This window comes from Homo sapiens, chromosome 2 (genome assembly GCF_000001405.40).
Source record: "Homo sapiens chromosome 2, GRCh38.p14 Primary Assembly".
Taxonomy (NCBI): Eukaryota; Metazoa; Chordata; class Mammalia; order Primates; family Hominidae; genus Homo; species Homo sapiens.
In genome coordinates, this window is record NC_000002.12 from 34,159,566 (window position 1) to 34,177,463 (window position 17,898).

General features: G+C 37.2%; 1 long non-coding RNA gene across 1 annotated transcript in view, besides 1 other annotated feature; it reads left to right on the forward strand.

The window, feature by feature from the left end:
* Positions 1–17,898, forward strand: part of LINC01317 (long intergenic non-protein coding RNA 1317) — a 590,861-nt gene that overhangs the window by 452,680 nt on the left and 120,283 nt on the right. The gene's annotated exons all lie outside the window — the stretch shown is intronic.
* Positions 2,182–3,381: an enhancer, noted in NCBI's record as "CDK7 strongly-dependent group 2 enhancer chr2:34386814-34388013 (GRCh37/hg19 assembly coordinates)". NCBI's record gives its function as "activates an origin of replication core promoter dependent on BRD2, BRD4, P300/CBP, MED14 and CDK7 cofactors, with strong dependence on CDK7, by STARR-seq in HCT116 cells {active_cell/tissue: HCT116}" and the evidence as "EXISTENCE:reporter gene assay evidence [ECO:0000049][PMID:35650434]".

Genomic DNA, 17,898 nt, shown 5'->3' on the forward strand with positions numbered 1-17,898 from the left:
TTTTAACTTAAATATATTCTAAAATATTATGAGATTTTTGAAGAAAATATAGTGTTAAACTTTTCTTTATATACCTATAGTCCATTATCATGCTTATACCTAGCATGTATAATACTAAACTTACTGTTGAATAAAATAAAAATTATGCAATAAGAGTCCATATGTGAATAGGGAAAGAGAGGGTCATTTGAGTGGGAAATGGTGAAAGAGAAGATTAGGCAAAGAATCTGCAACTACTTAAGGCCAGTTTTATGTTAGTCTTTATTTCTAAGATGAGAGAAATAGAGATTCAGGTATGCTGATAAAGGTGAATTCACATTTTTACTCATTGTAAGTATGTTAAATCGCTGTTATAAAATGTTTTGCATATTTTGCTCATAAAAAGATTAGAATTAATTATACTCAAAATTATATAGCATCATGTACCTCATACCTATAATTAACTAATACAGGCAGAAATGTTACTTGTGGTTTGGAGGGAAGCTGAGGATTGGGAGTGGTGGTGGTATAGAAAAGTGCTATTTTGTAAGACCATTTCATTTCTGGGAATGAGGCCAAATGGGCCTTGTGATTTTTCTTTTGTAGACTAGCTGTTTAAAAAAAAATTTAAAAAATATATTAAAGCCATCACGCAGTTAAATAAAATTTACATGTAAAATAGCAAATTTAAAATCAGAAACCAGGTTATCAGTAAACAAGAGTAGAAGAGCAGAAGAGAATCATTCAAAGCAGAGGCAGCATTTTTTACAGGGCCTTAAATAATGCTCTGGGTCTTCATACCATGGATAAATTGAAATCAATCAAAAAATTATTTATTCCTACTCTCTGAATGATGACTCTTACAGGGAACTGGATAGAAATTTCTAGCCCCATGGCTCAGAAGAACATGTTCTCCATGAAGCCTGACTGTACATTTGTCCTAGGTATCATCTGCCATGAGACCTTACTCTGTGATCAAGGGATGTGTATTGTCAGGTAAAACAACCAGATCCATCACCAAGTTCCCATTATTGTGTCCTCTACTCTTCTATGAATTCACACACACACACACACACACACACACACACACACACACACATCTTTTCTGTGTTGTCAGTTTTAAGGGGCTTGGGCTTTCTCCTTCCCTCACAATTCACATTTGATGAGCTCCTGCCACTTCACATCTCTGACTCAGGCAAAAACCTTCTGGGTCACTGGCCCAACTTGGTTACATCATGGTGTCCATGGTGTTTCATCTTGTGTGATACACGTTGAGATTATCTCAAGTAAGAGAGCAGGCCTGACACAGTTGCCTTACCTATGGTGGTTAGCTATGAGTCTTACTTTCGATGTCCTCAGTAGGCTGATGGGCAGGGAGAGCTCCTGTAGAAGATGTGCCTACCCGGAGAGTCAATGAGCAACTTTGAAGACTAAAGCTTTCTGTCTTGAGAGTTCAGACTCCCTAATCTATTCATGGTCTTAAGCTGTCAGGATCAGTTAAGGAGACCCGGTTCTTCCAGTGGGGAAAGGAACACTCTGAACTCAGTGACTCACATTTATACCAGGGAAGAGAGACATGCTCTTAGGCTAATTTAATCTTTTTTGGCATTTATTTTCTCTTCTGCTGAGTTTTCAAGGTAAAATGCTTTCCAAGGCTAGGTAGGTAAAGCAGTAAGTGAATCAGGGAGGGCCAGGGTGGAGCATCAGCAAATGCGATGGCACATGCAGCACTGAAATGGGATAATTACTGCTTGGCAACAGCCAGTTTTTGTTTATTTGGCTGTTGCTTTTGTTTCTTGCTATTTAGACTTATTTTTCAAAAAAAAAAAAAGCTGTCTATCTGAGCTTTTATAAGAAATTATTTGATTTTTAAATGTTCTAAACCATATCAGTTTAAAAGAAAACTGCGGGGTCAAATGAATCTCCTGGGAAAGACAGATACGGCTACCGGGTTACCATATAAGCTCTAGGGGCATGATACAGATGAAACAGAGAGAATGTGGAGGTGGGGGGTGATCTTCAGGTTTGATAAATGATGCTGCTCTTTATACCACTGGACATTTCAATCCTGATCCCATGCATTCCAAATTCAGTATGCTACTTAAGCCTCAGAGAACTTGCTATGCCCTTTGGGGGATCATTATCCTCAGAACCTTGTATCTTAATGTCAAGCAGATTGCAGCAAATCAACACAGCAAACTCCTTCTCCAGAGTGTACGTCATTGCTCTGACTCAAGCTAATTATTTGTGAATCATGTTGGTAGTGTAGTCTGGCAGGGAGGATATGGATATTAGAAAACTGAAATATTTATTATCTGGTTCTTTACAGAAGAGGTTTGTCAGCCTTTCGTAAAGTCAATCAAACTAAAAAAGCATGGCGTGAACTGTGCATGTGTTCAGATTGTTACAACAAAATACTGCAAGTTGGGTGGCTTATAAACAACAAATTTATTTCTCATAACTCTTCAGGCTAGGAAATCCAAGATCAAGACCCTGGCAGATTGAGCATCTTCTGAGGGTCTATTTATTCATAGCTGGAGCCTTCTATTATAGTTGTGTCCTCACATGGTGAGAAGGAACAAGGAATCTCCCTCTATTGGGTTTCTTTTATGAGGACATTCATTCTATACAGGACCCTCATGACCTAATCACCTCCCAAAGGCTCCACCTTCTAATACCAGCACCTTGAACATCAGGATTTCAACATAGAAATTTTGGCGGGGACACAAACATTCAGACCATAGCAGACTGACATCTGTCACTTGGTGATTATAACTCAGTTACTTGACTGACTTGATGACTAGTTGCTGTGACCTGCTGCCTGATGACTATAACCTGGTGACTGTGACTTGGCGAATAGAGACTTTGTGGTGGTAACTGGTGACTGTGGCTTAGTGACTGGTGACTAACCTGGTGACTAGAGACTGTGACTTGGCATTTGGTGACTGAACTGGTGACCGATGACTGTGACTTGGTGAATGGAGACTTTGGTGTGGCACTGGTGAATGTGAACTGGTAATAGGTGACTGCGGCTTGGATACCCAAAGGCTTACCTCAGAAACATCAAGAAACTGAGCTTAAGATAGCAAGATTAATTCCTTGCTCATTTCAACTGTTAAAATATTGCCCTGCTTGATGAGGCTTAGGGTAAAAAACTATTAAAGGACTCAGCCAGGTGTGCTTAGTTATGGGAAATGGAGAAACTGGCTTTCAGTCACTTACATAGAGAAATGTTCTTTTTAAAAAATGAAAATTAATGTTTTATAAAATAGTTTCTATGTAGAAACCCCCCAATATTTCTGTGTTTTTCCTTTCCCTGCTTAATTGTAGTTAATGCACCACTCCATGCCCATTGAGATTTTGACTGCAGCTCTTATTTTCTTTGATTCATATTGTTTCTCTCTCATGATAGTTCTCTAAGGACAGATATATCCTTAACTCAGGATCGTATTTTCATAGACATTAATCTCCTGTAAAGTTTCATTAAAAGTTTTAGGATTGGGTTTCTAATGACATTCGTCAAGCAGAGCATAGCAAGAAACATATGAATAATCTTAGATTTGGTAATTTTTCATTATATTAATCATAAAACCCATATGTTCTCTTCTGTGCATGGACAGAGAGAAGGAGTATAACAGATTGCTATAATACATGGCGAAGGAGAAAACAGTGTAGCCCTGTGGGAATAATGATGTTACAAATGCCAAACTTCTTAGATATGGAGATCAAAGATCTCTGTCTTTCTCTCTCTCTTTCTCTCTCTCTCTCTCTCTTTTTTCTCTCTCTTTCTTGCTTTCCAAGAATACTGTATATAATCCGTAAATAATTTGAAAGGGTGGTCAGTAGTTATTTTGAACATATGTCATGGTTCTTGGAATATAGTGCATTGGTCTTTGAATTCCCTTTTCAACAATATTAGATCCCGTTTTCTATTTTAAAAAAGTGGCTAAGAGGTGGGTGCTTTCAGCCCAAAGAAGTAGATCAGTTGAGTATTTTTTGCCTATAGAGGTTGCCATCAAATTAAAGAATTGGCTTTCTTGTTAGGGACAGAACAGTAAGTATAATGTGAAAAGAAACTTCTTTCCTATTCTGGTTCATTATTATTTGCTGAGGATATAAAGGGGAGACTGTCCAAATGCAAACCCTCAGGAAGCTTCCAGCTTAATGAGTTCAAAGGAAATACATGGCAGGAAACAGCCAGAAGTAAAACAGTAGCTGCCCAAATGTGAAATGTGTAGTTTTTCAATGGCTTGGGAGAAAAGGACTCCAAAGATTTTCACAGATCCCCTGATGAACAGGTGCCAAGAATATAGCATAGGTATCATTATTATTATTATTATTATTATTATTATTATTATTATTTTGAGACAGAGTCTTGCTCTGTTGCCCAGGCTGGAGTGCAGTGGTGTGATCTTGGCTCACTGCAAGCTCCACCTCCCGGATTCACACCATTCTTCTGCCTCAGCTTCCTGAGTAGCTGGGACTACAGGCACCCGCCACCACACCTGACTAATTTTTTTTTGTATTTTTAGTAGAGACGGGGTTTCACTATGTTAGCCAGGATGATCTCGATCTTCTGACCTTGTGATCCACCAGCCTTGGCCTCCCAAAGTGCTGGGATTACAGGCGTGAGCCACCATGCCCGGCATGTATTATTATTTTATAATTTTAAATTTTTGAGTACATTTGTGGGTACATTATAGGTGTATATATTTATGGGATATATAAGATGTTTTAATACAGGCGTGCAATGCATAATAATCACATCATGGAAAATGAGGTATCCATACCCTCAAGCATTTATCCTTTGTGTTACAAACAATCCAATCACACTCTTTTAGTTATTTGAAAATGTGCACTTAAATTATTACTGAGTACAGTCACTCTCTTGTGCTATCAACTAGTAGGTCTTATTCATTCTTTCTAACTTTTTTTTGTATTCATTAACCATTCCCACTTTAGAATAGTTACTAAAAACAGCAAGGTTTAGATTACATCATAAAGAATCAGAAAGTAGTGACCTTCATGATATACCAAATGGTTTATCACATATCCATAGTGTCTACTTGTAGCACACTATATAAGAGATGGAAAGGGTTTTGATGATCAAATAAATGTTGAAATTTTTGATGTATAGGACAGGTTAAAGAACATTCTATTATTTGGAATGGAAAATACAAGCGTAAGGAAAGCCAAAGTCTGTGAATCAAAAGTTTTGCCTGAATATGTTTTAAGGATACAAGTTGTTAAAAAGGATTGATAGCCAAAAAATCACATCTTGACCAAAAAATGACATTTGTATATGGATTCTTCCTTCTACTCATTGAACATGTCCACTTGGTCCTCTTAAGTAAATTTTGAAATCTAAGGAGAATAGCCAAGGGGATTAACATACCTGATATAGTAAATGCAGTGAAAGAGTTGTATATAATAGCTGTGGTTAATTATTCTCCTTTTTAGCTTATATTTCCTATGTATCATCAAGGTAATAAATTATCATTATAAAATATTTCAAATATTAGTGAAATATGGGCTTTCAAAGTTACAGCCCCCTTCAGTGGTCTGAAATATTTGTGTCCCCTCAACATTCGTATGTTGAACTCAACCCTTAGAATGATGGTGTTGGGAGGTGAGGCCTTTGGAAGATGATTAGTGCTCTTATGAAAGAGGTCTAAGGAAGCTACCTTGCCCCTCTAACCTCTAACCTCTAACCTTGCAGGGATACAGTTAGAAAACAGTATCTGTGAACTAGAAAGCAGGCCCTTACTAGATGCCAGATCTGCTGGTGCTTTATCTTGGACTCCCCAGTCTCCAAAACTATGAGAAATACATTTTTGTTGTTTACAAGCCATGCAATTTATGGTATTTTGTTATAGCAGCCTGAATGGACTAAAATATCCTATAACATAAACAAAAATACTGTTAAGTCCTTGATATACGTTAATCCAGACTTTTTTCTATAGGTAGACTAAATAAAATATTTAATACTTCCCTTTTCGTAATAGTTGTTTTTTGTTGAGTTTCAGGCACCTGTCACCTTGGATGTTATTCTATAGCCCCAAAGCAAATCAACTAATAGATTTAAAAAAGGATAGAAAGGAGAAATACACTTTTACTAGGATACTGTCTTAGGTATTTTTTATGTACAGTATCTCGTTTATTCCTCACAGCAGCCATACTAGATGGGAGTTTTGTTCTTAATTTAAAAAATTAGGACTCTGGTTTAGAGAGCTGAAGTCACTTGCACAAGGGTCATAGAATTTGAGTTGCAGAGCTGGGATGTGAGTCTAGGTCCTTCTAACACTGAAGTCTGTGGATATTTCCCTCAGATTGGGTAATACTTAACTGTTTCAATATAAACAATCGTTTGTGTTCTTTTATTGTGTCTAACGCATCAGATCCACATTTATCTGAATTTTTAATCTTTTTGATGCTTGTTGTATGCACACTTCCATATGTATATGATTTCCGAGCTTAGATAAACCACATTACTGTTTTTTTCTGGGCTTCAAATTCTTATCTTTAAGATGAAGGGATAAGCCCTAACGTGCTTTCCAGTCTGCTAGTCTATGATGGAAGGACTCTCAGACAGCCTTTGTGACAAAGTGTCAGTAGAGGAGTTGAACTGTTTTCCTGAAAATGTCTTTGGTCTATGAGCAATCTTACACCATCATATCCTGATTTCTATACAGCCTGGAACTGATTACCTGCATTAATGAGATAGCTCACTGACATCTAAGCCAACACGCTTGTATTAGCTATACCATATTGGCCTTATTTATTCTCTTAATTAATTGACTAAACTAAATAGAATGTTGAACACTAAAAAATACCCTTTAAAGTTCTAACACTTCTCCCCAAGTATCCAACATCTTCCAATAATATGAGTGATAGTGCCTGAGAAGAATGGAAATTTTCTGTGATAATGGTTTCCTCTACAGATATAATTCAACTAGGAGGGGAGGGAAGGTTAAGAGCATCTTTATGCATATTGTGCCCCTGTCTAGTTTTAGTGAGTTGGATCTAGGTACCATTTAATGAGAGCTTTTAAAAAAGAGTATTGTCATTTAAAAATTGATGACAGAGGAACAAGGAGATGGGGTTCTTCATTCTAGGCTTTCTGTTTCTAGAAAATGTAAGGCAAACTAGTAATATGCAAGTCAAAGGCAATATGATACTATCTTAACTCTCATTAAAATCTAGAAATGTAATTAAACATAAAAGGATTAACTTTTAATTAAATAATGTTAAATTGCTTTGAAGCAATAAGAGTAATAACACTCGGTTAATCACATAACTGAATAAGACTTTATATTTTCTTTTAGATACAGTCAGTTTGTTCTGGGGTAAGAAAAGAAGCTTTTATTTCAATTCAATGTGTAGTTTTTATGAGAGGACCTCTTGATATTCTAGTGCCTCCACTCATTGTACTGTCTTAATGGATAATACTGAAAATGAATGACTGAGCTTTATTGCAGTAGATTTCTCTAAAATCTCAACTCATCCATTATCGATTATAGATAAGAAGAAGTTGAGTGCTAATGCTATATTTTTTTACTAAATCTCTCTTATTCATGAAGTCTGAAATTTGGAATGCAACTAACAAGTAACTCTTGATTCCACCTTTCCTTTGTTGTGTTCCAGGCTGGAAACAATAGAGACATATTACTACCAATTTTGCAGGTAAATAACACCAACAAGAATTGGTCTTATAAACACTAAGTTGAAATTAAATATTAATTCTCAACTGTTTTCTAAGAGCTGCTAGTATAGTAAATGCAAAGCCGGAGATTTGCCTAACAGGGAAGCCCAGTATTAAAGGCTATAGCTGGAATGCAGTCTCTACCTTGTATAATGTCAGATGATCCTCGCCTGGGTTGTCTATATATTTTTTTTTAATTGATATTTCTCTCCTACTTTTCAAAGCGAGTTAATGATGACCTAATATGGATGGAAATAGCTATGGTGTATGTATATGTGTGAGAAAGTAGGGTATAGCTTTTGATGAGCACTAGTTAGTGTTTTAACACCAACTACATTGGAGACATCTCTATGTCATGTATTACTTAAAATAATCCTCCTGGATAGGTTTCACAGTCTCAAATTTATAGATGAAAACCATGAGGCCACTAAGTCCATATGTGGTAGATACAGAATTAGAGTGCAGTTTTGTGTTGTCTGTCTTCAAAGCTCTTCTTCTTAAGGTTTTGGCTCACTGTCTTTCTGTCTATGCATATTTACTTTGCAAAGAGAAGCATGACTTTAATATCATATATTTAGCTAAATTAAAGCTGTAAGCTTGCACAAAGCTTGTGCCTGATCTCATCTTGCCTTTTTCTTATTTGTATAAAAATATATTTTCTTTTCTAGGGACAACTATCTCCTTTATCTACCTATTCCCAGTGAAATGTAGATTATTTTGTATAATCAAGCTGTTTACTTGAGTTGCTACTAAAAATAAAATCCCACACTGTCTATTTTAATATTAATTCATTCAATTATTTGGTAAAAGTTGTGTGTATATGAGAGAGAGAGAGTGTGTGTGTGTGTATTTGCAAGGTTTTCAGACCAAAAAGTAGCTACCATGCAATTTTCAGGATATGTTTTACAATATTAACAAAGAAAAAGAACTAAGGTAGATAGCAGTTTGAAAGTAAAATGGTTTTTCTATGCATGGCTTCACTTAGCATAATGTCCTCCAGATTCATCCATGCTGTTGCAAATGACAAGGTTGTCTTCTTTTTTAAAACTGAATAATATTTCAATGTGTACCTATATACTACATTTTCTTTATCCATTCATCCATTGATGAGCAGTTAGGTAGATTCCATACCTTGGCTATTGTGAATAATGCTGCAGTGAACACAGGAATGCAGATTTTTCTTCAACGTAATTGATTTCATATCCTTTGAATATATATCCGAAGTGGAACTGCTAGATCATATGATAGTTCTTTTTTTAACTCGTTGGGTAATGTTCATGCATGATCTCACTTATATAAGGAATCTAAAAAACTCAGACTCATAGAAGCAGAAAGTGAAATGTTGGTTTAACAGGAGCTAGGGCAGGGATGGGATGTAAGGGGAAATGTTGGTCAAAGGGTACAAAGTTTCGCTTAGGAGAAATAAGTTCTGAAGATCTATTTAAATGCATGATGACTACCCATGACAATAATGCATTGTGTACTTGAAAATTACCAAGAGAGTAGATTTTAATACTCTCATCACAAGTATTAATATATGTGGTGATGTATATGTTAATTTGCTTGGTTTAATCATTCCACAATGTGTGTGTGTGTGTGTGTGTGTGTTTGTGTGTGTGTATGTATCCCTCTCTCAAAACATCATATTGTATATCATAAATATATAAAATTTTTGTTAATTACAAAAGTAAAATTATTGAATATACTAGAAAATAATCAGAATTTGGTTTAAAATAAAATGATAATGCAACATTTTTATACAATGAAGCAGTTCATAAATGCTTAGGTATAAGGTCAGGGAATACAAAGACAATAAAACTCTAATATCTTAAAAGAACCCAAAAAAGGTAGCAAAAAATTTCAAAATATGAAAGCTAGCTATAGCAGTGAACACTAGTATTAGGAAAATTTGCAACAGCCATTCAACTCTAGTATTAGCCTAATGATATCAAAGTCCATGGAGAGTCCAAGTAGGAGCTGGAGTCTTGCAGACTGCAGGAGCCATCCTAGGCCCCTGGAATTATATGCAATGTAATTCAGTGAATAGTTCCAGATGTTTGAACTTCTCAAAAGAGAGTTAGAACACTGTGACAGTTGCTTCGTTGTCTGTTCCTGCCAAGCTAAAAGCCTTAAACAGAGGCTCCAAAAGTATGCCTAGGTGTTTGCTTCCTGTGTCTGCTCTGTATTTGTCACTGCTCAGCAATCATTTAGATATGTATTTGTTGCAACTTATTTGGCCATCTAGATGCTAAATAACAAGGCTATCCAGAATAATTTATCTGCTGTACTACAGGAAGCAGAAGTGCTTCTTCATATTGAATTCTAAATGTGAAATTATTATTTATTGATAATTTTGGGGGAGAGTGAGGCATTGAAATTCCATAGAAACAGCCTTAGAGCAAAATATAGTCTTCTGGGGATACTATATTTCCTATTAATCACTTTCTTCTCAATGCTGACAACACCAAGGATTATAGAAAATATCTATTACATAACTCCTGAGTTTATAACTTTTTACTCTATCTTAGTTTTTAATCTCCATAAAGACAAAAGTATGTTTTTCATCTTTTATATGCACTTTAGTATTTGTAAAATTCTGGGCCAACAGGAAGGCTCAACAATTGTATGTTAATTGATTAATCACTGATTGAGGCACTATTTGTTTGACCTAAAATAGCCAATAGGTTTTGTCAATTCAGTGATGAAACTAGAAGAGCTTGTTGTTTGGTTTGACTTTTTTTTTTTTTTTTTAGGGACCAACTTTCCACATCAGTTAATTAAAAAAAATAAAATAAAATTACTCCCAGGGCCTGTATAGATAAAACCTGAAGAACTCTTTCAAACACTTTGAAATCATCAAACTGAAGTGTTTTTTCATTGATCATTGCTTTTTGGGGTCTGCCTGGGAGCATTTGAAGAAGGTCATGTTCTCTTTTATGAAAGTGGGGGACCATAAGCTTATGAGGAAGAAAGGACCTTAAGTAAACTTCTGCCAGACAGACTTGGAGTTTCTGAAATACAGATTAACTGCAGTGATTGATTTTTTTCCACTTCAGTAGCATACAAGGTGATACAATATGAGGCAAGGACATAAACCACGTTCAGGAAGCCAACACGTCATCTTGCAGTCTGTCAGTCAAAGATACATCAAACCTCAGACTGAAATGAAAGTCTACCATGCAGGAACGCTATCCAGTTTTCTTTATGGATATGACACTGGATCTGTTACTGGTGCATAACTTCCAGGACACCACTATCCTGCCATGTTTCGTATTAGATGGCAGACAGTTTCCAAATGCCAGGATCTAGGAAGCAGTTGATCATCAGGTGTTGACAATAGTACCATTAAAAATCAGCTCCACCAGGCTGGACATCTGTAGGGAGTGAATAACAAAATCTCCCAGTTCCGGGGCAGAGAAGGTGGCATACGATGGTTCCTTATAGGAGTATTATTTGTATGCAAAGATATACCACGTTGTTACCTTTAGTTCATAGTGCTCCAGAGGGCATTTTTCATCATTTAATACACACCCACTATGTATAAGAACATTGACATGTACTAAGAAAGTCAAGATGAATAAGAGTGTTTAGCTCAATAAGTGTTTGTTATTGAATTAAATTACTGAAAATACAATATCCTGAGTGCCAAAATAGTATATGCAATATACTAAGTGTATTAGCCCATTCTCATACTGCTATGAAGAAATACTTGAGACTGGATAACTTATAAAGGAAGGAGGTTTAATTGATTCACAGTTCTGCATGGCTGGTGAGGCCACAGGAAACTTAAAATCATGGCAGAAAGGGAAGTGAAAACATCTTTCTTCACAAGGTGGCAGGAGAGGAAGTGCCTAGCAAAGGGGGAAATGCCCCTATAAAACCAATGGATCTTGTGAGAACTCACTATCACAAGAACAGCATGAGGGTAACTGCCCCCATGATTCAGTTACCTCCCACGACATGTGGGGATTATGGGAACTATAATTCAAGGTGAGATTTGGGTGGTGACACAGCCAAATCATACCATTCCACCTGTGGCCCCTCCCAAATCTCAAGTCCTCACATTTCAAAACATAATCATGCCCTTCCAACAGTCCCTCAGAGTATTAACTCATTCCAGCATGAACCCAAAAGTTCAAGATCAAAGTCTCATCTGAGACAAGGCAAGTCCCTTTTGCCTACAAACCTGTAAAATCAAAAGCAAGTTAGTTACTTCCTAGATACAATGGAGGTACAGGCGTTGGGTAAATACATCCACTCTAAATGGAAGAAATTGGCCAAAACAAAGGCGCCACAGGCTCCATGCAAGTCCAGAATCCAATAGGGCAGTCATTAAAACTTAAAGTTCCAAAATGATCTTCTTTGACTCCATGTCTCACATCCAGGTCACACTGATGCAAGAGGTGGGCTCCCACGGCCTTGGGGAGCTCTGCCCCTGTGGCTTTGCAGGGTACAGCTCCCCTCCTGGCTGCTTTCACAGGCTTACATTGAATGCCTGCAGCTTTTCCGGGCTCACGGTGCAAGCTGTTGGTGGATCTACCATTCTGGGGTCTGGAGGACAGTGGCCCTCTTCTCACAGTTCTACTAGGCAGTGCCCCAGTGGAGACTCTGTGTGGGGGCTCTGACCCCACATTTCCCTTCTGCACTGCCCTAGCAGAGGTTCTCCATGAGAGCTCCACCCCTGCAGCAAACTTCTGCCTAGATATCCCGGCATTTCCATACATCCTCTGATATGTAGGCGAAGGTTCCCAAACCTGAATTCTTGACTTCTGTGCACCTGCGGGCCAACACCATGTGGAAGTCACTAAAGCTTTGGGCTTGCACACTCTGAAGCAATGGCATGGGCTGTACATTGGCCCCTTTTAGCCATGGTTGGGATGCAGGGCACCAAGTCGTGAGACTGCACAAAGCAGCAATGTTCTGGGCCCGACCCATGAAACTATTTTTTCCTCCTAGGCCTCCAGGCTAGTGATGGGAGGGGCTTCTATGAAAGTCTCTGACATGCCCTGGAGACATTTTCCCCATTGTCTTGGTGATTAATATTTGGCTCCTCGTTATGCAAATTTCTACAGTGGGCTTGAATTTCTCCCTCCAAAATGAGTTTTTCTTGTCTATTGCATTGTCAGGCTGCAAACTTTCCAAACTTTTATGCTCTGCTTCCCTTTTAAACATAAGTTCCAATTTCAGATCATCTCTCTCAAGTTCAAAGTTCTACAGATCTTTAAGGCAGGGGCGAAATTCCACTAGTCTCTTTGCTAAACCATAGCAAGAGCCACCTTTGCTCCAGTTCCCAACTGGAGCATTTCCATCTGAGAGCACCTCAGCCTGGACTTCATTGTCCATATCACTATCAGCATTTTGGTCAAAGCCATTTAACAAGTCTCTAGGAAGTTCCAAACCTCCCCACGTTTTCCTTTCTTCTTCTGAGCCCTTCAAACGGTTCCAATGCCTGCTTTTTACCCAGTTCCAAAGTCACTTTCACATTTTCTGTTATCCTTACAGCAGCGCCTTACTCCCTTGCTACCAATTTACTGTATTACCTCATTTTCACACTGCTATAAGGACATACCTGAGACTGGGTCATTTATAAAGGGAAGAGGTTTAATTGACTCACAGTTCTACATGGCTTGGGAGGCCTCAGGAAACTTATAATCATGGCAGAAGGCACCTCTTCACAGGGTGGCAGGAGAGGGAATGAGTGCTGAGCAAAAGGAGAAGCCCCTTATAAAACCATCAGATCTCATAAGAACTCACTCACTATCACGAGAACTGCATGGGGCTAACTGCCCCCATGATTCAATTACCTCATACTGGGTCCCTCCCATGACACATGGGGATTATGGGAACTACAATTCAAGATAAGATTTGGGTGAGGACACAGCCCAATCATATCACTAGGGGATAGCAAAAGAGGATTCTTTTAAATTAGCCAAAGTAGCCATTTAGTCTGGGACTCCTTGGATGTGAACCTGGTTACCAGAAGAATCCTAAAATCTGATCATAACTCAAGGCCTTCATATTTTTTCTACCTAATTCTTCATACTTTCTGTAATAATTATTAATACTTATTTGATGGCCTTTTTGTTTTTGTTTTTGAATGCTGTTGTTTATTTTCCTTTTCTAATAATTGCAACTTTAGATTCAGGGGATACGTGTGCAGGTTTGTTACATGGGTATATTGCATGATGCTGAGATTTGGAGTACAGTTAATCCTGTCACCCAGGTAGTGCACATAGTACCCAATAGTTAGTTTTTCAACCCTTCCTGCCTTCCCTTCCTTGCCCCGTTCATGGTTTCCATTGTTTATTGTTGCCATCTTTATGTCCATGAGTACCCAATGTTTAGTTCCCGCTTTTAAGTGAGAACACATGGTATCTGGTTTTCTGTTTTGTGCTCAGGATAATGGTTAATAATGGCCTTTTTCTCTGGAGATTTTAGGGGTGCTATACAATAAAAGTGTAATGTGACACACAAATGCAAGCCAGTTACTTACAGTAGTCCCCCCACTTTATGTATGGTTTACTTTCCCAGGTTTTGGTTACCCACAGTATAGCACAGTAAGATATTTTGAGACAGACCACATTCACATACTTTTCTATTATAGCATTTTATTCTAATTGCCCATATTATTAGTTATTTTTGCTAATCTCTTATGGTGCCTAATTTATAAATTAAAATACCATAGGTATGTATGTATAGAAAGAAACATAGTATGTATCAGGTTCAGTGCTATCCACAGTTTCAGGTATCCACTGGGGTCCTTGGAATGTATCCCCTACAGACAATCAGGAATGTAAAGTTAAATTTTCGAGCAGCCACATTAAAATAAGCAAAAACAAAATAACAGCTTAAATTAATTTTATTAATATATTTTATTAACCCGGAATATCCAAAATAGTATTATTTCCACATGTAATAAGTAAAAAAATGAAGTGAGATATTTTATATTGTTTTTCATGGTTAGTCTTCAAAATCTGGTATGTGTTTTCATTGACAGCACATCTCAATTTAAACAAGCCACCTTTCAAGTAGCCAACAGGCACATGCAGCTAGTGGCTATTATGTTGGACCACACAGCTTTGAAAGAATTTCATGTTGGCAGAGAGAGAGTACATGAGTCTTGTTACTCCTTTTTTCCATGTTCCTAGTATAGTACTTAGGGTTCAAAATATTTGATGAATAAATTAACATTTTTTAAAGGCTCTTGATAGTTTTAGCTAAAAAGGGAGTCAGGTATCCAAGAATGATTCCTCTAAGCAATGGATTTGGGCCTATATTTTTTAAGTCAAAGCAGCACTCTTCATTAGTGGTACAACTAAGTTTTGAAAACTATTTTAGAATAAAGGCAACAACCCACTGAATCTCATTAGTGAATAGATTTAAAAAGAAACCTTTGAATGTGAAATACTACAGCATGTTTCTACAAAGGGCTAGTGTGTACTAATGAGGAGGAAATGGTGGTGTCTGGCTGTGTTGTAATTGCATTTAGAGAGTGTACTTCATTATTGCATTACAGTAATCTCTTAGATATCCTGTGAGTGAGAATTCATTGTGTGAATTATTTGAACCCGTTGGTTTTTTTATTCTCTTCTTTTGCTATTTTGTCATTTATCTGTTTAATTGCTTATGAACCTTGGAGATTAAACGTATTACAGACTAAAGAAGTGAAAAGTAGGTCAGTGGAATTTAATTACTGAGAAACCTTTATTGAAAACATTTAAAACAAACAAACTACAGCTATAATAATCACCAAACATCATTGGAAGTCACAACTCAGAATCTTTTTTGAGCACAAAAAATACCAATTATATTCAACATAACTTTAGAAAAAAGCAATGGAAGCAGGGCAAATAAAACCACCTACATTATCTACATTATCATCATGATGCATCTGTACAGTACCTAAGCAAGCCAGTTTAATTTACAGAACTAATCTGGCAATACTCTTAAAGTTTCTCTGACAACATGTAATTAGAAAAGAATTGAACTCATTTCTGAAAGCAAATGCTAAGAAATGTTATATGCCACTGATCCACTACCAAGAAAGTAAGGACCATCCATTCAGCTCAAAGGTTTTGAAAAACCAACAGTTAATGTCCAGTTCTCTTCATATATATAAATACGTATATACACACACACAAACACGCACACATTATATATATACACACACACATATACAGACACATATACATACGTATGTGCTATACTAGGAACATGGAAAAAAAGGAGTGACAAGACTCATATACGTGTATATATGTATGTATATGTGTGTGTGTATATATATATAAAATAGAACTTCATCTTCTAGAACAGTCTTAGGTTCACAGCAAAATTGAGTGGAAGGATACAGAGATTTCTCATCTACTCATTGGTCAATTCCCTTTTCCATGAACAAATCACTAATCTCTCAGCCAGGTTTCCTAGTGGGAGACTCCCAGGTCTAAGACATTGTGGCAAAAAGGAGTGTGGTGTGTTATAAGTCACAACATTTTCCTGGAAAAAACTGATTTTCATATGAGAGCCTATCAATTCGTTTAAGTAGATAACAAATATTGAACACTTACTTTGTGTCGTCTTTGGGTTAAATATTGTAACATATTTAAAAGCAGTGTGAAGCTTAGCTACTCCCTTTTAAAAGCCAGTGATAACAGAGATGAAACAATTAGAGAAGTATTAGGCAGGAAACTATAAGGAACTACTGCTTCATGGAAAGAAAAGTTCTGAGGAAGGGTAGATCAATGAGGCTACAGAAATGAGGAAAGACATCATGGAAGGAATGGGATTTGAATTTCAGTTTGAAAGCTGAGGAGTGGAGAAGACAGAGAGCAAAGGTGTAGATCCATGAGCCGAGTGGCATGTATGAGTTGCCGGGGTGAAGTTGAGTGTGTGCTGGGAAGTACGAGGGGATTATAGTGGAAGATGAGTTGAAGATCTTGAAAGCCAGGCAGAGAGATTCTTGGATTTTACAAAAACAAGCTGCCAAGTCACAAATCCTAGGGATGTAAGGTTCCTCATTGTTCAAAATAATTGAAATGTCTTTCATCTAGAGGCAGAAGACAGGATTCAGTTATTTCTCTATCAGGCTTAGGAGTATATAAAAACTGAGATACATTTTTAAAGATATAAAATGATGAATGTAGCAAAACATGGGAGGCCCAAGTGGCTGAAAGAGAAGAATGGATAAAGAGTGGCTAAAATGTTACCTTTTAATATGATTGCTGAAAAGCATGATGTCAGAAGGATAATGTGCTTAAGGTTGAAAATAGATACGGTTGTTTTGGGACATTGTATTAGTCAAGATAGCTTATACTGTGTAAGCATTCTTCCCAGTTCTCAGTGTTGTAATGTGACAAAAATATATTTCTCGTGAGAATAGTTGGATTCTCTCCCTAGTGCCTCCCCAGGGCAGCCGCACTCCATGTGATATCTCAGTGGTATTCTCAAGACAAAGCTTCCTCCTGGTCACTGTGATAGGAGAAGAGAAATGGGGAAACCATACAGGTTTGTCAGAATTGATGCTTTACTTTTGCCCACACATTCATCAGCTAAAACTGTTATTTTCCCCTCAATTAACTAAAGGGTGGCTTGACTGGTATAGTCTCTATTATATCCAGGAAAAAAAAAAAGACAAATATTGATGAGTAATCAAAAGGTCAAAAATAGACATTTGGAGGGTGAAAATATCTACAGTGCAGTTAAAGATACAGGGTTCAGGTTCATTTGATAGCTAAAAATAACATCTGAGTATCATTATTATAGATGTTCATTTTGCTCTATTACAGAAGTTAACATTTATATGCAGCAGGATTAGAAGGATGAAGTGACAAATTGTGCACATCTGTAGGAAGGCTATCTTGAATTGGAACCCAAGCCTGGTCTGAAACCAATGCCCTACTCTTAATCATTATATTAATATTGGACCAGGTTTGTTCTTCCTGTGGTGCAGAAAGCCAATGACTAAGAAGATGAGTTTTGCAGTGGAGAAAAAGTTTATTCACAGGGCAGCCCATTAAGGACACAGGAGAACATCTCTCAAATCCAGCTTCTAGAATATAGGGCTTAAGGGTATTTATGGGGTAGAGAAACAGGGTGGTCTAAGGTATGGGGACAGGTAATTGGCCATGTGGAAAATCAGGCAACTGATGATCATGCAAACATAGTGAGAGTTCAGGGGTCTTCCTAGAACACATGTTCAGACAATGGCAGCGTTAGCATGA